This window comes from Homo sapiens, chromosome 6 (genome assembly GCF_000001405.40).
Source record: "Homo sapiens chromosome 6, GRCh38.p14 Primary Assembly".
NCBI classification, from domain to species: Eukaryota; Metazoa; Chordata; class Mammalia; order Primates; family Hominidae; genus Homo; species Homo sapiens.
This window is the reverse complement of record NC_000006.12, coordinates 34,246,321-34,272,218: the sequence shown is the minus strand read 5'-3', so window position 1 is coordinate 34,272,218 and position 25,898 is coordinate 34,246,321. Positions and strand designations below refer to the sequence as shown.

General features: G+C 47.3%; 1 protein-coding gene, 1 long non-coding RNA gene and 1 pseudogene across 8 annotated transcripts, besides 2 other annotated features; 2 read left to right on the top strand and 1 right to left on the bottom strand.

Moving 5' to 3' along the window:
* Positions 1 to 8,207: 8,207 nt before the first annotated feature.
* Positions 8,208 to 23,651, bottom strand: SMIM29-AS1 (SMIM29 antisense RNA 1). Of its 2 annotated transcripts, NR_199000.1 has the most exons (3): positions 23,549 to 23,651; positions 11,750 to 11,840; positions 8,208 to 8,943 (listed from the first exon to the last, which is right to left on the bottom strand). It is a non-coding gene; the product is annotated as an SMIM29 antisense RNA 1 (long non-coding RNA). The 2 variants fall into 2 exon arrangements; NR_199001.1 differs by lacking the exon at positions 11,750 to 11,840.
* RPL35P2 (ribosomal protein L35 pseudogene 2) lies at positions 8,496 to 8,949 on the top strand (annotated as a pseudogene).
* Positions 22,904 to 23,113: a silencer, noted in NCBI's record as "silent region_17071". NCBI's record gives its function as "represses an Ori minimal core promoter by ATAC-STARR-seq in GM12878 lymphoblastoid cells {active_cell/tissue: GM12878}" and the evidence as "EXISTENCE:reporter gene assay evidence [ECO:0000049][PMID:35858748]".
* On the top strand, positions 23,213 to 25,824 carry SMIM29 (small integral membrane protein 29). Of its 6 annotated transcripts, none has more exons than NM_001008704.4 (5): positions 23,213 to 23,240; positions 24,355 to 24,478; positions 24,727 to 24,752; positions 25,070 to 25,175; positions 25,351 to 25,824. In NM_001008704.4, the coding sequence occupies exons 2-5, from the start codon at positions 24,428 to 24,430 to the stop codon at positions 25,414 to 25,416; spliced, it is 249 nt and encodes an 82-aa protein (NP_001008704.2). In that variant the 5' UTR covers positions 23,213 to 23,240; positions 24,355 to 24,427; the 3' UTR covers positions 25,417 to 25,824. The 6 variants fall into 6 exon arrangements, 4 of the variants coding, with proteins under 4 accessions (NP_001008704.2, NP_001008703.2, NP_001274325.2 ...); NM_001008703.4 differs by having other exon boundaries at positions 24,355 to 24,538; NM_001287396.3 differs by having other exon boundaries at positions 23,213 to 23,492.
* Positions 23,294 to 23,363: a silencer, noted in NCBI's record as "silent region_17070". NCBI's record gives its function as "represses an Ori minimal core promoter by ATAC-STARR-seq in GM12878 lymphoblastoid cells {active_cell/tissue: GM12878}" and the evidence as "EXISTENCE:reporter gene assay evidence [ECO:0000049][PMID:35858748]".

The window sequence follows — 25,898 nt, the reverse complement described above, 5'->3', positions numbered from 1 at the left end:
AGAGTCTGCGGGCAGTCTCAGTTCCTCTTCCTTACTGTGTCTGCCTCTTCCCAGTCCCTGGAGCTTGGTCTGTGGAGTTGTCAGTCATTAATTCCACTAATTAATTTTTAAAAGACTCTTTAAAAAACAATTTTTTGGCCAGGCTCAGTGGCTCACACCTGTAGTCCTAACACTTTGGGAGGCTGAGGTGGGAGGATGGCTTGAGCCCAGGAGTTAAAGACCATCCTGGACAACAAACTGAGACTCCCTTTCTACTAAAAATAAAAACCTAGCCAGGCATGGTGCTATGGGCCTGTAATCCCAGCTACTTGGGAGGCTGAGGTAGGAAGATCCCTTGAGCCCAGGAGTTCGAGGCTGCAGTGAACTATGATGGTGCCACTGTACTTCAGCCTGGGTGACAAAATGAGACCCTGTCTCTAAAACAAATTTTTTTAATTAAAATAAATTTAATTACTTAAAATCTTTAAAATAAATTTAAAACAATTTTAGGACAGGCACAATGGCTCATGCCTGTAATTCCAGCACTTTGGGAGGCCGAGGCAAGAGAATTGCTTGAGCCCAGGTTTTTGAGTCCAGCTGGGACTAAAGGCACACGTCACCACATTCTGATAATTTTTTTTTTATTTTTAGTGGAGACGGGGGTCTCACTATTTTGCCCAGGCTAATCTCCCGTTTCCTGGCTCAAGCAGTCCTCTTGCTTGGCGTCCCCAAATAATGGAATTACAGGCATAAGCCACCCCACCCGACTTTAAAAGGCATTCTTTATTACTTTTTTTTTTTTTTTTGTAGACAGTTTTGCTCTTGTCACCCAGGCTGGAGTGTAGTGGCACGACTTTGGCTCACTGCAACCTCCACCTCCCAGGTTCAAGTGATTCTCCTGCCTCAGCCTCCTGAGTGGCTGGGATTACAGGTGCCTGCCACCACGCCCAACTAATTTTTGTATTTTTTGTGGAGAAGGGGTTTTACCATGTTGGCCAGGCTGATCTTGAACTCCTGACCTCAGGTGATCTGCCTGCCTTGGCCTCCCAAAGAGCTAGGATTACAGGTGTGAGCCATCGTGCCCGACCTCTTTATCACATTTTTTAAAAAGTTGTATTGAGGCCGGGAGCAGTGGCTCACACCTGTAATCCCAGCACTTTGGGAGGCCAAGGCGGGTGGATCACAAGGTCAGGAGTTTGAGACCAGCCTGGCCAACATGATGAAACCCCGTCTCTACTAAAAAACACAAAAATTAGCTGGGCATGGTGGCTAAAGCCTGTAATCCCAGCTACTCGGGAGGCTGAGGCAGGAGAATTGCTTGAACCTGGGAGGCAGAGGTTGCATTGAGCCAAGATCGCACCACTGCACTCCAGCCTGGACGACAGAGTGAGACTCCGTCTCAAAAAAAAAAAAACGAAAACAAAAAACAGTATTGAACTATAATTAACATACAATAAGCTGCACATATTTAAAATGCGTAACTTGAAAAGTCATGACATGTTCGCCTATGAAACTATCACTACAACCAAGATAACGTACATATCCATCACTGCCAAAAGTTTTTTGTGCCCCTTTGTGCCCTCTCCCCTGGCCCTTGGCCCCCTAACCCTGGGCAAACACTAATCTGCTTTCTGTCCCATTACATGAGTTTGCATGTTCTAGAGTTTTCTATAAATGAAATCATACATCATAAATGTTGTATATGTTGTGAGGTATAGAGCCGGATTGATTTTTTTCCATGTAGATATCCAATTATTCCAACACCATTTGCTAAAATCCTTATTCCTGGTGTGCTGATTTTTCAGTCATAAAAGGGTGTTGATTTGTCAAATGCATTTTTTTGCATCCATTGAGATGATCATGGCTGGCACAGTGACCCATGCATGTAATCCCAGCACTTTGGGAAACCAAGGCTGGAGGATTGCTTGAGCCCGAGTTCAAGACCAGCCTGGGCAACATAGTGAGCGACCCCCATCTCTACAAAACATAAAAAAACTTAGCTGGGCATGGTGGCATGCACTTGTAGTCTCAGCTACGTGGGAGGCTGAGGTGGGAGGATCACTTGAGCCCAGGAAATTGATGCTGCAGTGAGCTATGATCATACTGTGTCCGGAATTGGTGGGTTCTTGGTCTCACTGACTTAAAGAACAAAGCCACAAACCCTCACGGTGAGTGTTACAGCTCTTAATGTGGCACGTCTGGAGTCTGTGCCTTCTGATCGATGTTCAGATGTGTTCGGAGTTTCTTCCTTCTGGTGGGCTCGTTGTCTCGCTGGCTCAGGAGTGAAACTGCAGATCTTCCCAGTGAGTGTTACAGCTCATAAAAGCAGTGTGGGCACAAAGAATGAGCAGTAGCAACATTTATTGCAAAGAGTGAAACAACAAAGCTTCCACAGTGTAGAAAGGATCCCGAGAGGGTTACCAACAAGGGCTCGGGCAGCCTGCTTTTATTCTCTTATCTGGCCCCACCCACATCCTGCTGATTGGTAGAGCCGAGTGGCCTGTTTTGTCAGGGCGCTGATTGGTGCGTTTACAATCCCTGAGCTAGATACAAAGGTTCTCCACGTCTCCGTCAGATTAGTTAGATACAGAGTTTGGACACACAGGTTCTCCAAGGCCCCACCAGAGCAGCTAGATACAGAGTGTCGATTGGTGCACTCACAAACCTTGAGCTAAACACAGGGTGCTGATTGGTGTATTTACAATCCCTGAGCTACATATAAAGACTCTCCACGTCCCCACCAGACTCAGGAGCCCAGCTGGCTTCACCTAGTGGATCCCGCACCGGGGCTGCAGGTGGAGCTGCCTGCCAGTCCGGCGCCGTGCGCTCGCACTCCTCAGCCCTTGGGTGGTCGATGGGACTGGGCGCCGTGGAGCAGGGGGTGGTGCTCGTTGGGGAGGCTCGGGCGGCACAGGAGCCCATGGAGTGGGTGGGAGGCTCAGGCATGGCGGGCTGCAGGTCCCGAGCCCTGCCCCGCAGGAAGGCAGCTAAGGCCCAGCGAGAAATCGAGCGCAGCGCCGGTGGGCCGGCACTGCTGGGGGACTCAGTACACCCTCTGCAGCCACTGGCCCGGGTGCTAAGTCCCCCATTGCCCGGGGCCAGCAGGGCTGGCTGGCTGCTCCGAGTGCGGGGCCCACCAAGCCCACGCCCACCCGGAACTCCAGCTGGCCCGCAAGCGCCGCACGCAGCCCCGGTTCCCGCTCTTGCCTCTCCCTCCACACCTCCCTGCAAGCTGAGGGAGTGGGCTCCAGCCTTGGCCAGCCCAGAAAGGGGCTCCCACAGTGCAGTGGGGGCGGCTGAAGGGCTCCTCAAATGCCACCAAAGTGGGAGCCCAGGCAGGGGAGGTGCCGAGAGCAAGCGAGGGCTCTGAGGACTGCCAGCATGCTGTCACCTCTCAATACTACATAATCCCACTGCACTCCAGCCTGGGCAACAGAGTGAGATTTTGTCTCAAACATAAATAATAAAATATTTTTATTAAAAAAGAGAGAGACGATCATGTGGGCAGTCTTGTTTCCCACTGTCACACTGCCTGTGCTCACCCTTGCCAGGTTGGCGTGGAGTACCCTGACCCCACTACTCACTACCCTTGGAGCCTCCAGTCACTTAGTACCTTAATCTCAGAGTCCCTAGCTTCAAAATGGAGCTAATGACATCTACCTCATAAAGATTATTAGTAGATTGAAAGAAATAACATACACGGGGTATGTTATTGTCTCACTGTCCTATTAATGTGGTGTATGACATTGAGTTTCTGTTGAACTACCTTTACATTCTTAGAATAAATCTTTGGTCATGGTATATAATCCTTTTTGATGTGCTACTGGATTTTTTATACTAGTTTGCTAGTAGTTGGTTGAGGGTTTTTTGTTTTTTGTTTTTTGAGACAGGGTCTCACTCTTTTGCCCAAGCTGGAGCACAGTGGTGCTATCACGGCTCACTGCAGCCTCAACCTCCCCGGGCTCAGGTGATCCTTCCACCTCAGTTTCCCAAGTAGCTGGGACTGCAGGTGCATGCCACCATGCCCAGCTAATTTTTTGTATTTTCTGTAGAGATGGGGTCTCACCATGTTGCCCAGGCTGGTCTTAAACTCCTGAGCTCAAGTGATTCTCCCCTCTCAGCCTGGCAAAGTGCTGGGATTACAAGCATGAGGCGCCACACCCAGCCTCAAACAACTGTCTTGGCTCAGTGTCCCAAGCGGCTAGGACTACAGGCATGGGCCACCACACCTGGCTAAAAAAATTTTTATTTTATTGATTGATTGATTGATTGCAGACAGTGTCTCACTCTGTTGCCCAGGCTGGAGTACAGTGGTACAATCAGCTCACTGCAGCCTTGAACTTCTGGGCTCAAGGGATTCTGCTGCCTCAGCCTCCTGAGTGGCTAGGACTATAGGTGCTTGTTGAGGATTTTTATATCTATATTCATAAGGAATATTGGTCTATCAATTTCTTGTGGACTCTTTCTCTGGCTTTGGTATCAAGGTAATGCTGGCCTAATAGAATGTGTTAGGAAGTGGATCCTCTTCAATTTTTGCAAGAGGCTGTGTAGGGTTGGTATCCATTCTTTTTTTTTTTCTTTTCTTTTTTTCTTTTTTTTTTCTTGTGGAGTCTCGCTTTGTCTCCCAGACTGGAGTGCAGTGGCGCAATCTCTGCCTCCCGGGTTCAAGCGATTCTCCCACCTCAGCCTCTCAAGTAGCTGGGATTACAGGCATGAGCCACCACACCCAGCTAATTTTTGTACTTTTAGTAGAGTCAGGTTTTCACCATGTTGGTTAGCCAGGCTGGTCTCAAACTCCTGACCACAGGTGATCCACCCGCCTCGGCCTCCCAAAGTGCTGGGATTACAGGCATGAGCCACTGGACCCCACCTACTTTTTTTCTTTTTTTGAGACAAAGTCTCTCTCTGTCAACTAGACTGGAGTACAGTGGTGTGATCATAGCTCACTGTAACCTTAAATTCCTGGGTTCAAACAATCCTCCTACCTTGGCTTCCCAAAGTGTCAATATTACAAGCATGTGCTACTGCACCTAGCCTTAATTTTTCTTTTTCTCTTTTTTTTTGAGATGGAGTCTCGTTCTGTCACCAGGCTGGAGTGCAGTGGCACAATCTCGGGTCACTGCAACCTCTGCCTCCCAGGTTCATGTGATTCTCCTGCCTCAGCCTCCCGAGTGGCTGAAACTACAGGCATGTGCCACCACACCCAGCTGAATTTTGTTGGTATTTTTAGTAGAGATGGGGTTTCACCATGTTGGTCAGGATAGTCTTGATCTCTTGACCTCGTGATCCACCCACCTCAGCCTCCCGAAGTGCTAGGATTACAGGCGTGAGCCACTGCGCCCAGCCCTTAATTTTTCTTTAAATGTTTGATAGAACTGGCCAATGAAGCCAACCTGATCCTGGACTTTTCTTTGTTGGGAGATTTTTTTTTTTTTGAGACAGAGTTTAGTTCTTGTTGCCCAGGCTGGAGTGAGTGCAGTGGCACCATCTCAGCTCTCTGCAAGCTCCACCTCCGGGGTTCAAGTGATTCTCCTGCCTCAACCTCCCTAGTAGCTGGGATTACAGGCATGCACCACCACGCCTGGCTAATTTTGTATTTTTAGTACAGATGAGGTTTCACCATGTTGGCCAGGCTGGTCTTGAACTCCTGACCTCAGGTGATCCAGCCGCCTTGGTCTTCCAAAATGCTGGAATTATAGGCATAAGCCATCGTGCCCAGCTGTTGGGAGATTTTTGAGTACGGATTCTATCTTTTATTATAGGTCTGTTGAGATTTTTTATTTCTTCTTGAGTCAGTTTAGATAATTTGTGTGTTTCTAGGAATTTTTCCATTTCATCCAGATTATTTTATTTGTTGGCATACAATTGTTCATAGTATTTGCTTATAATCCTCTTAATTTCCGTAAGGTCAGTAGCAATATTTCTGCATTTATTTCTGATTTTAGGTATTTGCGTCTTCTCTCTCTTTTTCTTAGTCTAAAGTTTTAATTTTTCTTGGGTCTTTTCAAAGAACCAACTTTGGTTTTACTGATTCTACTTTTTTTTTTGACGGAGTCTCACTCTGTCGCCCAGGGTGGAGTGCAGTGGTACGATCTCGGCTCACTGCAACCTCCGCCTCCCAGGTTCAAGCAGTTCTCCTGTCTCAGCCTCCAGAGTAGCTGGGACTACAGGCGCGTGCCACCACACCCAGCTAACTTCTTTGTATCTTTAGTAGAGACAGGGTTTCACCATATTGGTCAGGCTGGTCTCGAACTGCTGACCTCAGGTAATCTACCTGCCTCAGCCTCCCAAAGTGCTGGGATTACAGGCGTGAGCCATTGAGCTTGGCCAATTCTACTTTTAAAAATTCTCTACATCATTTATCTGTTATCTAATCTTTATTGTTTCTATCCTTCTGCTGGGTTTAGGTTTTGTTTGCTCTTCTTTTTCTAATTCCTTAAGGTGTAAAGCTAGGTTGTTGATTTGAGATCTTTAGGCATTTACAGCTATAAATTTTCCTCTGAGTACTGCCTTTACTACATCCCATCAGTTTTGGTATGTTTTCATTGGTCTAAAAATATCTTATATTTCCCTAGTGGTTTCTTCTTTGACTTGCTGGTTTAAGAGTGTGTGGTTTACTTTCCACATATTTGCAAATTTTCCAGTTTTTCTTCCACATTTGATTTCTAGCTTCATTCCACTGTGGTCAGAGAAAGTACTTTGTATGAGTTTAGTCCTTTGAAATTAATTGAGAATTCTTCCATGGGCTAACACCTATGTTAGTAAGGGATTTTGGCCTGTAGTTTTCTTTTGCACCTTTGTCTGCTTTTGATATCAGGGAAAAACTGAGTCAGAATGAGTTAGAAAATATTCTCTCCTCTCAATTTTTTGGAAGAGTTTAGGAAAGATTGGTATTAATTCTCCTTTAGATGTTTGGTTACAAAAAAAAATTGACCAGTGAAGCCATCTAATTCTGGGCTTTTCTTTGTTGGAAGGTTTTTACGTTTATTAAGATCTGTTTTGTGGCCTAACATATCGTCTATCTGGGAGTGTGTTCCATGTGCCCTTGAGGATACTGTATAGTCTGCTGTTGCTGAGTGGAGGGTTTTGTATATGTCTGTTAGGTCTAGTTGGTTTATACTGGTTTTCTTTTCTTTCTTTTTTTTTTTTTTTAAGACAGTTTCACTCTCGTTGCCCAGGCTGGAGCGATCTCAGCTCACTGCAACCTCCGCCTCCCAGGTTCAAGCGATTCTCCTGCCTCAGTCTCCCGAGTAGCTGGGATTACAGGCATGTACCACCATGCCCGGCTAATTTTGTATTTAGAGACGAGGTTTCTCCATGTTGGTCCAGCTGGTCTCGAACTCCCGACCTCAGGAGATCACCTGCCTCTGCCTCCCAAAGTGCTGGGATTGGAGGCATGAGCCACCACACCCGGCATGGTTTATACTGGTTTTCAAGTCCTATGTTTCCTTATTGATCATCTCTGTAGGAATGTATTCCACCCATTGAGAGTAGGGGATTGAAGTCTCCAACTACTATTGAACTATTTCTAAACAAATACCTCATGTTCCTATGTATGTGGAAAATAAAACAATCAAACTCATAGAAGTGAAGAGTATATTGGCCAGGCGCAGTGGCTCACGCCTGTAATCCCAGCACTTTGGGAGGCCGAGGCGGCTGGATCACGAGGTCAGGAAATCGAGACCATCCTGGCTAACATGGTGAAACCCTGTCTCTACTAAAAAATACAAAAAATTAGCTGGGTGCGGTGGCGGGCGCCTGTAATCCCAGCTACTCGGGAGGCTGAGACAAGATCGCGCCACTGCACTCCAGTCTGGGCGACAGAGCGAGACTCCATCTCAAAAAAAAAAGAAGCAAAGAGTATATTGGTGGTTACCAGAGGCCACGCGTAGGGGGAATGGAGAGATGTTGGTCAAATTGTATAAAGTTGCAGTTAGACAGGAGGAATAAATGGTAAGTATTTAAGGACATGGATATGTAATTCGCTTGATTCAATAATTCCAAACTATAAACATATATAATAATATCACTTTGTACCCCTTAAAGATGTAAAATTATAATTTGTCAAAAATTAAAAATTTTAAATAGTAACTAAATAAAATAATGCTGCTACAGGCCAGGCGCCATGGTGCACGCCTGTAATCCCAGCACTTTGGGAGTCCAAGGTGGGAGGATCACTTGAATCCAAGAGTTCTAGACTGGCTTAGGCAATATAGTGAGACTTCACCTCTACAATTTTTTTTTTTTAATTAGCCAAGCATGGTGGCACACACCTGTAATCCCACCTACTCAAGGAAGTGAAGATGGGAGGATCACATGAGCCCAGGCCGCGAAGGCTGCAGTGAGCCAAGACAGCGCCACTGCATTCCAGCCTGAGTGACAGAGTGAGACCCTGTCTCAAAAAATAATAATCTGCTATAAATATTTTTGTACACATTTGTTGAAGACATATATTTTCATTTTTTTCTGGGCATGTACTTGCCGTATCATTAGGTAAGTTTATATTTGAATCTACGCTCTTTCCCTCGGAGCGGGCGGCGCGGCGGCGTCGGCGGCCTGTGCAGCAATGGCCAAGATCAAGGCTCGAGATCTTCGCGGGAAGAAGGAGGAGCTGCTGAAACAGCTGGACGACCTGAAGGTGGAGCTGTCCCAGCTGCGCGTCGCCAAAGTGACAGGCGGTGCGGCCTCCAAGCTCTCTAAGATCCGAGTCGTCCGCAAATCCATTGCCTGTGTTCTCACTGTTATTAACTAGACTCAGAAAGAAAACCTCAGGAAATTCTACAAGGGCAGGAACTACAAGCCCCTGGACCTGCGGCCTAAGAAGACACGCGCCATGCGCCGCCGGCTCAACAAGCATGAGGAGAACCCGAAGACCAAGAAGCAGCAGCGGAAGGAGCGGCTGTACCCGCTGGGGAAGTACGCGGTCAAGGCCTGAGGAGCGCATTGTCCATAAAGCACGCCTGGCTGAGAAAAAAAAAAAAAATCTATAAGAAAATTCTAAACAGTTTTCCAAAGTGGTTGTACCATGCCACACCACTACCAGTGATGCATGAGAATTTCAGTTGTGCCATATTCTCTTAAAAATTAAATATCTTTCTTTTTTAAAAACTATTTCTGCCCCCAACTCTGCCAATACTTGCTTCATATATTATGGGACTCTGTTGTTCAACATGTATGTTATTATACTTGCCGTATCTTCTTGATGAATTGACTCCTTTATCATTATAAAATGTCTTCCTTTATCTTGTGTAACACTTTTTTACTTAAAATCGATTTTGTCTAATATTAGTATAGCCATTTTTGCTCTCTTTACACTCTTCATGGGATACCTTTCCCATCCTTCCACTTTCAATTTATTTGTGTCTTTGAGTCTAAAGTAAGTTTCTTTTTTTTTTTTTTTTTTGAGGCAGAGTCTTGCTCTGTCACCCAGGCTGGAGTGCAGTGGCGCTATCTCGGCTCACTGCAAGCTCCACCTCCCGGGTTCACGCCATTCTCTTGCCTCTCAAGCTCCACCTCCTGGGTTCACACCATTCTCCTGCCTCAGCCTCCTGAGTAGCTGGGACTACAGGCGCCCGCCACCACGCCTGGCTAATTTTTTGTATTTTTGGTAGAGACGGGGTTTCACCGTGTTAGCCAGGATGATCTCAATCTCCTGACCTCGTGATCCACCCACCTCGGCCTCCCAAAGTGCTGGGATTACAGGCGTGAGCCACCGCACCCGGCCTAAAGTTTCTTATAAATAGCATATACTTAATGTACTTGGATTTTCTTTTCTTTTTTTTTTTTTGAGACAGAGTCTCGCTCTGTCGCCAGGCTGGAGTGCAGTGGCATGATTTCGGCTCACTGCAACCTCTGACTCCCTGGTTCAAGTGATTCTCCTGCCTCAGCCTCCTTAGTAGCTGGGATTACAGGCACGTGCCACCATGCCTTGCTCATTTTTGTGTTTTTAGTAGAGACAGGGTTTCACCATGTTGATAAGGCTGGTGTTGAACTCCTGACATCAGGTGATCCACCCACCTCGGCCTCCCAAAGTGCTGGGATTACAGGCCTGAGCCACCACGCCCAGCCACTTGGATTTTAAAAACCGTTTCAAGGCTGGGCATCGTGGCTCAGAAAAAACACTTTTTTCTGTTTTTTTCAACAGAGCGAGACTCCATCTCAAAAACTAAAGTAAAATAAATTAAAAAAAAAAAAAAAACATTTCTGGCTAGGCGTGGTGGCTCATGCCTGTAATCCCAGCACTTCGGGAGGCCAAGGTAGGCAGATCATGAGGTCAGGAGTTCGAGACCAGCCTGACCAACATGGTGAAAGCCTGTCTCTACTAAAAAAATACAAAAATTAGGTGGGTATGGTGGCCCATGCCTGTAATCCCAGCTACTCAGGTGGCTGAGGCAGGAGAATCATTTGAACCCAGGAGGCGGAGGTTACAATGAGCCAAGGTCACGCCACTGCACTCCAGCCTGGGCAACAGAGCGAGACTCCATCTATAAATAAATAAATAAAATAAACATTTCAACCATTTTTCAGTCTACATTTCAGTGGCATTAAGTACATTCACACTTTACAACTATTGCCACCATCAATTTCCGGAACCTTTTTCCTCTTCCCAAACTGAAACTCTGTACACATTTAACAATAACTCTCATTCTCCTCTCCTCCTAGTCCCTGGAAAGTCCTATTCTTTCTATGAATTTGGTTATTCTAGGTACCTCATATGAGTGGAATCATACAGTTTTTGTTCTTTTTTTGATTGGCTTATTTCATTTAGCATACTGTCTTCCAGGTTCATTTCTGTTGTAGCATGTGTGAGAATTTCATTCTTTTTGAAGGCTGAATAAAATATTCCATTGTATGTATATACCACAGTTTGTTTATTCATTCAATTGTTGATGAGCACTTGGGTTGCTTCCACCTTTTGGCTGTTGTGAATGCTGTGAACATGGGTGTACAAATATCTGTTCAAATCCCTGCTTTCACTTCTTTGGGATAATATCAGATACGGTTTGGCTGTGTTCCCACCCAAATCTCAACTTGAATTGTATCGTCCAGAATTCCCACGTGATGTGGGAGAGGCCCAGAGAGAGGTAATTGAATCATGGGGCCGGTCTTGCCCATGCTATTCTCGCGATAGTGAATAAGTCTCACAAGATCTGATTCGTTTGCTGCAGGGGCGGGGCCCTCATGGAGAACCTCTGCTAAGGCAGTGTGGAAGGGAAATGTGGGGTCGGCGCCCCCACACAGAGTCCTTCCTGGGGCTCTGCCTAGTGAAGCTGTGAGAAGAGGGCCACCATCCTCCAGACCCCAGAATGGTAGATCCACCTACAGCTTGCACCGTGGACCTGGAAAAGACACAGACACTCAACGACAGCCTGTGAAAGCAGCAGCAGGAGGCTGTACCCTGCAAAGCCACAGAGGCGGAGCTGCCCAAGACCGTGGGCACCCCTATCTTGCATCAGCGTGACCTGCATATGAGACCTGAAGTCAAAGGACATCATTTTGGAGTTTTAAAATTTGACTGTCCTGCTGGATTTCAGACTTGCATGCGCCCTGTAACCCGTTTGTTTTGGCCAATTTCTCCCAATTGGAACAGCTGTATTTACCCAATACCTGTGAACCCCATTGTATCTAGGAAGTAGTTAGCTTGCTTTTGATTTTATAGGCTCATAGGTGGAAGGGACTTGCCTTGTCTCAGATGAGGCTTTGAACTGTGGACTTTTGGGTTAATGCTGAAAAGAGTTAAGACTTTGAGACCCGGCGCTGTGGCTCACACCTGTAATCCCAGCACTTTGGGAGGCCGAGGCGGGCGGATCACGAGGTCAGGAGATCAAGACCATCCTGGCTTACACGGTAAAACCCCGTCTCTAATAAAAACAAAAAAATACAAAAAATTAGCTGAGCGTAGTGGCGGGCGCCTCTAGTCCCAGCTACCCCAGAGGCTGAGGCAGGAGAATGGCGTGAACCTGGGAGGCGAAGCTTGCAGTGAGCTGAGATCGTGCCACTGCACTCCAGCCTGTGTGACAGAGCAAGACTCCGTCTCAAAAAAACACAAAAAAACAAAAAAAGACTTTCAGGCACTGTTGGAAAGCCATGATTGGTTTTGAAATGTGAGGACATGAGATTTGGAGGGGCCAGGGGCAGAATGATATGGTGTGGCTGTGTCCCCACCCAAATATCAACTTGAATTGTATCTCCCAGAATTCCCATGTGTTGTGGGAGGATCCCAGGGGAGATAATTGAATCATGGGGGCTGGTCTTTGCCGTGCTATTCTCATGATAGTGAATAAGTCTCACATGATCTGATGGGTTTATCAGGGGTTTCCTCTTTTGCTTCTTCCCATTTTTCTCTTGCCGCCACCATGTAAGAAGTGCCTTTTGCCTCCTACCGTGATGCTGAGGCCTCCCCAGGCATGTGGAACTGTAAGTCCAATTAAATCTCTTTTTCTTCCCAGTCTTGGGTATGGCTTTATCAGCAGCATGAAAATGAACTAATACAATATCCAAAAAAGTGTAATTGCTGAGTCATATGGTAATTCTATTTTTTTTTTTTTTTAAAGACGGGGTCTTCCCATGTTGTCCAGGCTGGTTTCAAACTCCTGAGCTCAAGCAATTCTCCTACGTCAGCCTCCCAAGTAGCTGGGACTACAGGCACATACCATAACGCCTGGCTTATTTTTAATTTTTTGAGGAACTTCCATACTGTTTTCCTTAGTGGCTGCATCTCTTTACATTCCCACCAGCAGGGTACAAGGGTTGTAATTTCTTCACATGCTCATGAACACTTTTTCTGTTTTTTTAAAATATATTATTTAAAAAATGTATTATTTAGAAAATATCCATCCTAACGGGTATGAAGTGGTATCTCATTGTGGTTCTGATTTTTTTTTTTTTTTTTTCTGGTAGAGATGGGCGTCTCACAACGTTGCCCAGGCTGATCTTGAACTCCTGGGCTCAAGCAATCCTCCCATCTCAGCTTCCCAAAATACTGGAATTACAGGCATGAACTAACATGCCTGACCCATTGTGGTTCTGATTTGCATTTCCCTAATTATTAGTGATGTTGAACATATTTTTATTTGCTTATTTGCCATTTGTCTTTCTTCTTTGGATAAATGTCTGTTCAAGAGTAGTTGGATCATTTTAAAATCCATTCTGCCAATCTCTGTCTTATATTCTGAGTGGTAAAATATAAATAATAGGCCAAACATGGTCGCTCATGCCTGTAATCACAGCACTTTGGAAGGCCGAAGTGGGTGCATCACTTAAGGTCAGGAGTTTGCGACCAGGCTGGCCAACATGGAGAAACCCCATCTCTACTAAAAATACAAAAATTAGCCAGGCGTGGTGGTGCGTGCCTGTAATCCCAGCTACTCAGGAGGCTGAGGCACGAGAATTGCTTGAACCCAGGAGGCAGAGGTTGCAGTGAGCTGAGATCATGTCACTGTACTCCAGCCTGGATGACAGAGTAAGACTCTGTCTCAAAAAAAAAAAAAATATATATATATATACACACACACACACACACACACACACACACACATATATGTATACATGTATATATGTGTATATATATAAAATATAAAATTTACCATTTTAACCTTTTTTTTGAGATGGCTATATATATATGTAATTATATATATAATTATATATATCTATATTATATATAATATATATAATAGATTATATAATATATAATAGATATATAATAGATTATATAATATATAATAGATATATAATAGATTATATAATATATAATAGATATATAATAGATTATATAATATATAATATATATATAGAAACCCCGTCTCTACTAAAAATACAAAAAATTAGCCGGGCGTGTTGGCGGGCACCTGTAGGCCCAGCTACTTGGGAGGCTGAGGCAGGAGAATGGCGTGAACCCAGGAGGCGGAGCTTGCAGTAAGCTAAGATCGTGCCACTGCACTCCAGCCTGGGTGACAGGGCGAGACTCCGTCTCAAAATAAATAAATAAATAAATGCATTCTTGTGGGCAGCATATATTGAATCTTGCTTTTTTATCCAGTCTAAAAATCTCTGATATTTAAATAGGTTGTTTAAACCATTTACTTTATTATCATTATTATTTTTCTTGAGACAGAGTCTCACTCTGCTACCCAGGCTGCAGTGCAGTGGTGCAGTCACAGCTCACTGCAGCCTCAACCACCTGGCCTTAAGTGATCCTCCCAACTTAGCCTCCAGGTATCTAGGATTACAGGCATGTGCTACCACGCTGGGCTTTTTTTTTTTTTTTTTTTTTTTGGTAGAGACAGGGTCTTCCTATGTTGCCCAGGCTTGTCTTGAGCTCCTGGGCTCAAGCAAATCTCCCACCTCAGCCACTCCAAGTTCTTGGATTATAGGCAAATGCCACCACGCCTAGCCTCCCATTTACTTTATTATTATTATTTTTTTTTTTGAGACGGAGTCTCGCTCTTTCGCCCAGGCCGGAGTGCAGTGGCGCTATCTTGGCTCACTGCAAACTCCGCCTCCCGGGTTCACGCCATTCTCTTGCCTCAGCCTCCCGAGTAGCTGGGTCTACAGGCGCCCGCCACCGTGCCTGGCTAATTTTTTGTATTTTTAGTAGAGACGGGGTTTCACCGTGTTAGCCAGGATGGTCTCGATCTCCTGACCTCGTGATCTGCCTGCCTCGGCCTCCCAAAGTGCTGGGATTACAGGCTTGAGCCACCGCGCCCGGCCTTTTTTTTTTTTTTTTTTTTTTTTTTTTTTGAGACGGAGTCTAGTTCTGTCACCCAGGCTGGAGTGCAGTGGTGTGATCTTGGCTCACTGCAACCTCTGCCTCCTGGGTTCAAACGATACTCCTGCCTCAGCCTCCCGAGTAGCTGGGATTACAGGCGTGTGCCACCACGCCCAGGTAATTTTTGTATTTTTAGTAGAGACAGGGTTTCACTGTGTTGGCCAGGCTGGTCTCAAACTCTTGACCTCGTGATCCGCCCACCTCGGCCTCACAAAGTGCTGGGATTACAAGCGTGAGCCACCGTGCCCGGCTCCCATTTACTTTTTTTTTTTTTTTTGAGACAGAGTCTTGCTGTGTCGCCCAGGCTGGAGTGCAGTGACAAGATCTCGGCTCACTGCAAGCTCTGCCTCCTGGGTTCACGCCATTCTCCTGCTTCAGCCTCCCGAGCAGCTGGGAATACAGGCGCCCACCTCCATGCCCTGCTAATTTTTTGTGTATTTTTAGTAGAGCCTGGGTTTCACTGTGTTAGCCAGGATGGTCTCAATCTCCTGACCTCGTGATGCGCTCGCCTCGGCCTCGCAGTGCTGGGATTACAGGAGTGAGCCACCGTGCCTGGCCCCCATTTACTTTTAATGTAATGATTGATATAGTATGTTTCATTTTATCATCCTGCTATTTTTTTTTTCTTTTAGACGGAGTCTCGCTCTGTTGCCTAGGCTGGAGTGCAATGGCGCAATCTCTGCTCACTGCAACCTCCGCCTCCCGGGTTGATGCCCTTCTCCTGCCTCAGCCTCCTGAGTAGCTGGGACTACAGGCACATGCCGACATGCCCGGCTAATTTTTTGTATTTTTAGTAAAGACGGGGTTTCACCGTGTTAGCCAGGATGGTCTTGATCTCCTGACCTCATGATCCTCCCGCCTCTGCCTCCCAAAGTGCTGGGATTACAGGCATGAGCCACCATGCCCGGCCTTGTTTTTGTTTTGTTTTGTTTTGTTTTTTGGTTTGTTTGTTTGGAGATGGAGTCTTGCTCTGTTGCCAAGGCTGAAGGGCAGTGGCATGATCTTGGCTCACTGCAACCTCTGCCTCCCGGTTTTAAGTGATTCTCCTGCCTCAGCCTCCCAAGTAGCTGGGATTACAGGCACCTGCCACCATGCCTGGCTAATTTTTGTATTTTTAGTAGAGACGGGGTTTCTCCCTGTTGGCCAGGCTGGTCTCGAACTCTTGATCTCAGGTGATCCACCCGCCTTGGCCTCCCAAAGTGCTGGGATTACAGCGTGAGCCACCGTGCCGGCCTTTGTTATTTGTTTTCTAATTATCTTATCTGTTCTTGGTTCCCCTGTTCCTCTTTTTCTGCTTTTTTTTTTTTTTTAGATTTCTTATTTTATATCCACTTTATTTTCTTTGTTGGTATCTATAACTCTGTTACTTTATTAGTTACTTTAGGGTTCATACTATACATCATTAACTCACCACAGTCTATCATTAAGTGATATTATACAACCTCATATATATATGAATACAGTAGTATATTCCCATTTCTTTCCCAACCTTTATGCTATTAAAGTAATACATTAAATTGAATCCTTTATATTTATCGAGACTTGTTTTTTGTTTTGTTTTGTTTGAGACAGAGTTTCACTCTTGTCACCCAGGCTGTAGTGCAGTGGCATGATCTCTTCTCACTGCAACCTCCGCCTCCCGGGTTCAAGTGATTCTCCTGCCTCAGCTCCCAAGTAGCTGGAATCACATGCATGTGCCACCACACCTGGCTAATTTTTGCATTTTTAGTAGAGACGAGGTTTCACCATGTTGGCCAGGCTAGTCTGGAACTCCTGACATCAGGTGATCCACCCGCCTTGGCCTCCCAAAGTGCTGGGATTACAGGCGTGAGCCACCACGCCTGGCTGAGACTTGTTTTATGGCTCAGAATATGGTCTGTCTTGATAAATGTTCCATGTGCAAAAGTCCCACAATACAGTATTGGGCTTTTTGTTTTGTTTTTTACAATCGATTACTTTTTTTTTTCTTTTTTTGAGATGGAGTCTTGCTCTGTCTTCCAGGGTGGAATGCAGTGGTACAATCTCGGCTCACTTTAACCTTCGTCTCCTGGGTTCAAGCGATTCTCCTGCCTCAGTCTCCCCGAGTAGCTGGGACTACAGGTGCGTGCCACCACACCCGGCTATTTTTAGTAAAGACGGGGTTTCGCCATGTTAGCCAGGCTGGTCTCAAATTCCTTACCTCAGGTGATTGGCCTGCCTTGGCCTCCCAAAGTGTTGGGATTACAGGTGTGAGCCAACGTACCTGGCCTCAATTACCTCTTTAAAAAGATTTAACTAACAGATGGGGCAAGCCGGGCACAGTGACATGCTTCTGTAATCCCAGCTACTTGGGAGGCTGAGGCATGAGGATTGCTTGAACCAAGGAGTTCTAGACCAGCCTAGGCAACATAGGGGGAACTGGTCTCTAAAAACAAACAGGCCAGGCATGGTGGCTCATGCCTGTAATCCCAGCACTTTGCGTGGCTGAGGCGGGTGGGTCACCTGAGGTCAGGAGTTTGAGACTAGCCTGGCCAAGGTGAAACCCCATCTCCACGAAAAATACAAAAATTAGCCGGGCGTGGTGGTGGGTGCCTGTAATCCTAGTTACTCAGGAGGCTGAGGCAGGAGAATCGCTTGAACCTGGGAGGCGGAGGTTGCAGTGAGCCGAGATCGCGCCATTGCACTCCAGCCTGGGCAACAAGAGTGAAACTCTGTCTCAAAAAAATAAATAAATAAAAGCAAACAAAGAAAAATGGTGGTGGTGGAGGGAATATATGTGTATATGTGTGTGGAATATATGTGCATATATGTTTGTACATATATACATACTGACACATATATATATATTTACATATATACATACTCACATAGCTACCATTTTCAGTATTCTTCATTCCTTTGGATAGGTCCATATTTTTTTTGAATTTTTTTTTTCAGTAGGTTTTTGGGGAACAGGTGGTGTTTGGTAAGTTCTTTAGTAGTGATTTCTGAGATTCTGGTGCACCCATCCCCTGAGTCGTGTACACTGTACCCGATGTGTAGTCTTTTATCCCTCACCCCCCTCCCATCCTTTCCCCCAAGTCCTCCAAGTCCACTGTATCATTCTTATGCCTTTGCATCCTCATGGCTTAGCTCCTACTTACAAGTGAGAACATATGGTGTTTGGTTTTCCATTTCTGAGTTACTTCACTTAGAATAATGGTCTCCAACTCCATCCAGGTTGCTGCAAATCCTATTATTTCATTCCTTTTTATGGCTGAGTAGTATTCCATGGTGTGTGTATATATATATATATATATATATATATATATATATATATATATATATATATATAAAATAGTATTCCATGGTATGTATATATATCACATTTTCTTTATTCACTCATTCATTGATGGGCATTTGGGCTGGTTCCATATTTTGGCAATTCCGAATTGTGCTGCTATAAACATGTGTGTGCAAGTGTCTTCTTTCTTTTTCTTTTTTTTGTTGAGACAAGTTCTCGCTCTGTCTTATTCTTTTGCCCAGGCTGGAGTGGAGTGCAGTGGCGTGATCTCGGCTCATTGCAACCTCCACCTCTTGGGTTCAAGCGATTCTCGTGCCTCAGCCTCCAAAGTAGCTGGGACTACAGGTGTGTGCCATCACGCCCAGCTAATTTTTGTAGTTTTAGTAGAGACGGGGTTTCACCATGTTGGCCAGGCTGGTCTCAAACTCCCGACCTTAGGTGATCCGTCCACCTCGGCCTCCCAAAGTGCTGGGACTACAAAGTGCTGAGCCACTGAGCCCAGCTGCAAGTGTCTTTTTTTCATATAATGACTTCTTTTACTCTGGGTAGATACCCAGTAGTGGGATTGCTCAATCAAATGGTAGATCTACTTTTAGTTATTTAAGGAATATCCACACTGTTTTCCACAGTGGTCGTACTAGTTTACATTCCCACCAGCAGCGTAAAAGTGTTCCCTTTTCACCACATCCATGCCAATATCTATTGTGTTTCTTTCTTTTTTTTTTTTTTTTTTTTTGAGGCAGAGTCAGTCTCACTCTGTCGCCCAGGCTGGAGTGCAGTGGCACGATCTCAGTTCACTGCAACCTCCACCTCCCAGGTTCAAGTGATTCTCCTGCCTCAGCCTCCCAAGTAGCTGGGATTACAGGGGCATGCCACCACACCCGGCTAATTTTTTGTATTTTTAGTAGAGACGGGGTTTCATTGGGTTAGCCAGGGTGGTTTCGATCTCCTGACCTCATGATCTGCTCGCCTTGGCCTCCCAAAGTGCTGGGATTACAGACATGAGCCACCATGCCCAGCCTACTTTTTGATTTTTAAAATTATGGCCATCTTGCAGGAGTAAGGTGGTATCACATTGTGGTTTTGATTTGCATTTCCCTGATCATTAGTGATGTTGAGCATTTTTTCATGTTTGTTGGCCACTTGCATATCTTTTTCTTGAGAATTGTCTATTCATTCCTTAGCCTACTTTTTGATGAGATTGTTTGGTTTTTTCTCGCTGATTTGTTTCAGTTCCTTGTAGAATCTGGATATTAGTCCTTTGTTAGATGTATAGATTGTGAAGATTTTCTCCCATTCTGTGGGTTGTCTGTTTGCTGATTATTTCTTTTGCTGTGCAGAAGCTATTTAGTTTAATTAATCCCATCTATTTATCTTTGCTTTTGTTGAATCTGCTTTTGGGTTCTTGGTCATGAAGTCTTTGCCTAAGCCAATGTCTAGAGGGGATTTTCTGATGTTATCTTCTAGAATTTTTATGGTTTTAGGTCTTAGATTTACATCTTTGATCCATCTTGAGTTGATTTTTGTATAAGGTGAGAGATGAGGATCCAGTTTCATTCTCCTACATGTGGCTTGCCAATTATCCCAGCACCATTTGTTGAATAGGGTGTGCTTTCCCCACTTTATGTTTTTGTTTGCTTTGTCAAAGATCATATCATCGGCAAACAGTGACAGTATGACTTCCTCTTTACCGATTTGGATGCTCTTTCTTTCTCTTGTGGGATCATATTTTTATTTGGTACAATTACCTTTCTGCCTGAAGAATTTCCTTTAACAGTTCTTGTAGTGCAGGTCTACTGGTGATGATTCCTTTCAGTTTTGTATGTCTGAAAACATCGTTTTCAAAAATTTTTTAATTTTATGTTTTAATTTTTATCTATTTATTTATTTTGAGACCAGGTTATGAGACTGGCTAATGTTTGTATTTCTGGTAGAGACAGGCTTTGACCATGCTGCCCAGGCTGGTCTCAAACTCCTGGGCTCAAGTGATCCACCCGCCTCGGCTTCCCAAAGTGCTGGAATTACAGGCGTGAGTCACCACGCCTGGCCTGAAAACATCTTTATTTCTTGTTTTTGACAGATTTTTTTTCCCCAATATTCTAGATCGAGAGTTTTTTCTTTAAGTAGTTAAAAGATGTTAGCCAGGCGCGGTGGCTCACGCCTGTAATCCCAGCACTTTTCAAGGCCGAGGCGGGCGTATCACGAGATCAGAGGATCGAGACCATCCTGGCTAACACGGTGAAACCCTGTCTCTACTAAAAATACAAAAAATTAGCAGGGCGTGGTAGTGGGTGCCTGTAGTCCCAGCTACTCGGGAGCCTGAGGCAGGAGAATGGCGGGAACCCTGGAGGCGGAGCTTGCAGTGAGCTGAGATTGCACCACTGCACTCCAGCCTGGGCGACAGAGCGAGACTCTGTCTCAAAAAAAAAAAATAAAATAAAATAAAAATAAATAAAAAAATAAAAGATGTTGCTCCACCATCTTTTCACCTGGATTGTTTCAAGTGAAATTTTATGCCATTCTTAACTTTGTTCCTCTGTGTGTAACATCTTTACCACTGGCTTTGAGCAATTTGATTACGATGTGCTTTGGCACAGTTTCTTCATGTTGCTTGTGCTTGGGCTTATTGTGCTTCCTGGGTCTGTAGGTTTATAGCCATCTTTAAGTTTGGAAAGTTTTTTGTTGTTGTTGTTTTGTTTTTTGAGACGGGAGTTTTGCTCTTGTTGCCCAGGCTGGAGTACAATGGCACAGTCTCAGCTCACTGCAACCTCTGCCTCCCGGGTTCAAGCGATCCTCCTACCTCAGCCTCCCAAGTAGCTGGGATTACAGGCATGTGCCAACACGCCTGGCAAATTTTTGTATTTTTAGTAGAGATGGGGTTTCTTCATGTTGGCCGGCTGGTCTCAAACTCCTGACCTCAGGTGATACACCTGCCTCGGCCTCCCAAAGTGCTGGGATTACAGGAGTGAGCCACTGCGCCTGGCCCAAGTTTGGAAAGCTTTTGGTCATGGTTTCTTCAAATATTTTTCTGTCCTTTCTTTCTTCTCCTTTTGGACCTCTAATTATCCATATATTAGGCCACTTACGGTTATCCCGCAACTCACTGATCCTTTTTTCATTTTTCTTTTTTTTTTTTTTTGGATTTTTTTATCTTTGGGTTTTATTTTGGGTAGTTTCTATTGCTATGCCCTCAAGTTCACTTGTCTTTTCTTCTGTAATATCTAACCTGCCATTAATCCTGTCCAGTGTGATTAATCCTGTCCAGTATGATTTTTTTAATCTGATATTGTAGTTTTCATCTCTAGAAGATCACTGGGATATTTTCATACATTCCTTGTCTTAAGTGCTGGGATTACAAGTGTGAGCCACAGCACCCAGCCAGGGTCCTTTTTTTTTAATTTTTGAGACAGAGTTTCACTCTTGTCACCAGACTGGAGTGCAATGGCATGATCTCGGCTCACTGCAACCTCTGCCTCCTGGGTTCAAGTGATTCTCCTGCCTCAGTCTCCTGAGTAGCTGGAATTACAAGCTCCTGCCACCACGCCCAGCTAATTTTTGTATTTTTAGTAGAGATGGGGTTTCACCTCTTTGGCCAGGCTGGTCTCGAACTCCTGACATCAGGTGATCCACCACCTCGGCCTCCCAAAGTGCTAGGATTACAGGCATGAGCCACCGCACCTGGCCACCAGGTTCCATTTTTTAGTGGATGTCAGATATTATAAAAACTGGATATTTTTGCCTTCCTATAAATCTTCTTGAGCTTCATTCTAAAAGTTAACTGAAAATAGTTCAATCCTTTCAGGTCTTGCTTTTATGGTTTGTTCAGTGGATCCAGAGCTGGAGGACACGAGGATGAGTGAGGCATTAGCTGAAGTGGGCAGACAAGTCCAGGCACTAACCACAGCAGCATGGATCAGGAGGCAGTCAAAACTCGAGCATGGTAGCACAATGTAGCCTCAACCCCACCCTAGCCTCCCGCTTCCTGAAACGGTAGCTGCATGAAGAGGGAAGGCAGAGCTGCAGTTTTCCCGGCTATACTTGGAGGTACTCTCATCAGATATGAAGCCTGAACACAGCAAGACACCAGGCCTCAAATGTAGCTCTGGGGCCGCTGTCAGCAGAGAGCTGTCCAAGAAGAGAGGCCCACCTGTCATCTCATCCCACCCTGCCCTTAATGATCAGGCCAAGGGCCCTGAGAAGTCATCTCATTGCTTGAGCATCAATTAACTCATCTGCAAATTGCGATTGCTCCACTTGCCCTGCCTAGCTCACAAGGGTGTTCTCTCTTAGGAGAAAAGAAAGTAAAATCCGGCCAGGCCCAGTGGCTCACGCCTCTAATCCCAGCACTTTAGGAGGCTGAGACAGGTGGATCACCTGAGGTCAGGTGTTAAGAGACCATCCTGGCGAACATGTTGAAACCCCCTCTCTACTAAAAATACAAAAATTAGCCAGGCATGGTGGTGCACACCTGTAGTCCCAGCTACTCGGGAGGCTGAGGCAAGAGAATAGCTTGAACCAGGGAGGCAGAGATTGCAGTGAGCTGAGATCGTGCCACTGCACTCCAGCCTGGACGACAGAGACAGACTCCATCTCAAAAAAAAAGTAATAATAATAATCCTCACACAGCTTGTTTTACAGACGTTAAGACAGGCGCAGAGAGGGTGGGCGTGCCAGGGCCCTCGGTAGCCCAGACCTGCCGTACTCTACCAGCCGAGCACAGCCCGAAGGCCAGGGAACAAACACAGACGGAGGCCGAGTGGGCCCGGAGCAGGGTCTTGCCGCGAAGGGCCTGGGCTCAACGTTAGAGCGTGGCGCGACCCTATTCTGGCTGCAACGAGAGGGGTGAATGAAGTGGGCGCCGGGGACCTCCCAGAATCGGAGCTCCAGACGCGGGCGGGCCAGGGGCCGCCGGAAAACTGCGCGCGCCCCGCCCTACCCCGTCCGGCCCCGCGTCGCGTTCTCCTCCCCCACTGCGCAGCCCTCGGCTGCCCCCTGCCGCCGCCGGGCGGACCCTGCAAGCCCCGCTGTCCCCGCCTTCGCACCGCCCACCCCCGCCTCCGGATTGGCGGCTCCAGAAATCTCCAGGCCACCGGCTTTCCGCTACCGGATTGGCTGCGTCCGGGTGCTGAGGCCCGGCCCATTTCCCCGGGTCCTTTGATCACGCGCCTGACGGCTTTTCCGGGGCCCGGGAGCCAACCGAGGGCGTTCCTGTCGGGGCTGCAGCGGCGGGAGGTAAGGCATGGCCAGGCCGGCTGGGCTGCAGAGCGCCGGCACGGGTCCACGCCTCGGGTGACGGGCTTCCAGGATGTTCGGGCGCGGGGCGGCCCATCCGCATCCCCCAACACCCCCACCTCCGGCCTGAGCCTCCCAGCGCCGTGGGAACCACCTCCTGTCCGCTGTTGCTGGCCCGCATCCTAGCAGCGGCCTGACGCCCTCCCCACCCTGGCATGCCCCCTTGACCTGGGACGATGAGCATACGACTGGGTAAGGGCAAGCTCGATGCCCCGTGCCCTACGGACACGGGGGTAGGTCGCTCATACCTTGCCCTCTGATAGAGACTCAAGCGAACCTGGGTCGCGGACCTTGGGCCATCAGCGTGCAAACTGCCCCAGGACGATCTCTTTGCTTCTGTCGATGGGGACTGACCCTCTCCACCTCTGCCTGTCAGCTCAGGCCAGGAGGGGAGGGACCTGGGCGGAGCCCCGGGTGGAGACAAGAGGAAGGTGACATCATCTTGAAGATACAATCCAGCTTTACCCACTCGTGTCCACCCTGGCACACGAGACAGATGGGGGAGAGGGTGTTTGGGCTGTATGTCTGAGGTGACACCAGGGACAAGGGCATAGAACTCAGGCATGGAGCCCATCGCTTGAAGTGGGATTGGACCAGGATGGAAGCGGGCTCCTTCAGATGCTCCCATCTCACCCCTGGCTGCAGTGCAGGTCCTTCCTTTAGACCTCATTTATCCATTTTGCTCCACTGGACAGGTGCTGGCAGCCCAATGCCCCAAAAGGGCTGGGGCAGGCACCTGAAACCTGCACTTAATCTTTCCCCAGAAGCTGAGACTTGTAAATGTTTGGCCAGCATCTGAGCTGGGCCCCACCCTGATTTAGGGATAGGAGTTGGGCAAGACTCAGCCCTGGATCCAGGCCTTCCCTTGATCCCCTTTCCTGCCAGGATTTGCCAAGACTCACTGGAGGGTCACACCCAGTACATCTACCTGGAGGATCCCTCCTCCCAGGATTTGACCTGGGACCAGTTTTCATAGATCTTCAGCTCTGGGGGAGGGATCCAGAGTCTGGATGTCACCTGGGTGCAACTGATAACCTCCCTTCCTCCTTCCCAGGGAGCCCAGTGGAGGCGCCCTCCCGAAGCGCCACTGCCCATGCTGACCACCCAGCCCTCCGGCTGCTGATGTCATGAGTAACACCACTGTGCCCAATGCCCCCCAGGCCAACAGCGACTCCATGGTGGGCTATGTGTTGGGGCCCTTCTTCCTCATCACCCTGGTCGGGGTGGTGGTGGCTGTGGTAAGGAGCCCTCATATACACACAGACACCCACAGCTTTGCTAAGGCAGGGGCTGGGTGGGCCTGGTCCAGTCTGCACAGAGTCCCCACTGTCCTGTTAAGGGAGTGAAGGGTGTGGAGGTGGGCCTCTCTCTGCCTGTGGGCCTTCCTGGGCTCAGCAGCCCCCACAGTGCTGTGTCTCTGTTGCAGGTAATGTATGTACAGAAGAAAAAGCGGTGAGTGTCCCTGTCCCCCACCCGCCCTAACCCCACACCCGTTCTGAAATTCCTGCTCATAGGCTCTGACTTTTCTGTAAGATGTCCCTCAGCCATCCTGATACAAGCCTGAAATTTGTTTTCCCTGCCCCAGCCTCAGGTTACTCACTGGGGAAAGCCCCTTTGTAGAATCAGGGTTGTATTCTTGGAGGTATAGTGTGTCCCAAAAGGCACCCACTGGAATTGCCCCTGCCTGGGAAAGGGAGGAGACGAGGCAGCCAGGTGTTTGATGAGGGTTGGGGGGACCTCCTAGCTGAGTCCCCTCCCCTGCTCCCCAGGGTGGACCGGCTGCGCCATCACCTGCTCCCCATGTACAGCTATGACCCAGCTGAGGAACTGCATGAGGCTGAGCAGGAGCTGCTCTCTGACATGGGAGACCCCAAGGTGAGCACTTGGGGGCCAGGGGGAGAATGAGGCAAGGTGGGAGTCAGCCCTGTTCCCAGCCATACTCGTCCACACTGAAACCAGAGCCTGGTTCTGCTTACTTGGGCTGTAACTGGGTGCTGCAGACTCCCAGGGAACACAGCCCAGCCTTGTGGTGTGGTCTCCTCCCCGACAGGTGGTACATGGCTGGCAGAGTGGCTACCAGCACAAGCGGATGCCACTGCTGGATGTCAAGACGTGACCTGACCCCCTTGCCCCACCCTTCAGAGCCTGGGGTCCTGGACTGCCTGGGGCCCTGCCATCTGCTTCCCCTGCTGTCACCTGGCTCCCCCTGCTGGGTGCTGGGTCTCCATTTCTCCCTCCACCCACCCTCAGCAGCATCTGCTTCCCATGCCCTCACCATCACCTCACTGCCCCCAGGCCTTCTGCCCTTTGTGGGTGTTGAGCTCACCGCCCACCCACAGGCACTCATGGGAAGAGGCTTTCCTTCTGGGATGGGGGCGGCTGGTAGACACCTTTGCTTTCTCTAGCCCTCCTGGGCTGGGCTTGGGCACAAATCCCCAGGCAGGCTTTGGAGTTGTTTCCATGGTGATGGGGCCAGATGTATAGTATTCAGTATATATTTTGTAAATAAAATGTTTTGTGGCTAGGGGTTTTGATTTCATCAAGAGGCTTAAAATGACCTTCCCCGGAGGTGATTCCAGTGCTATTTCCCCTCCCTTC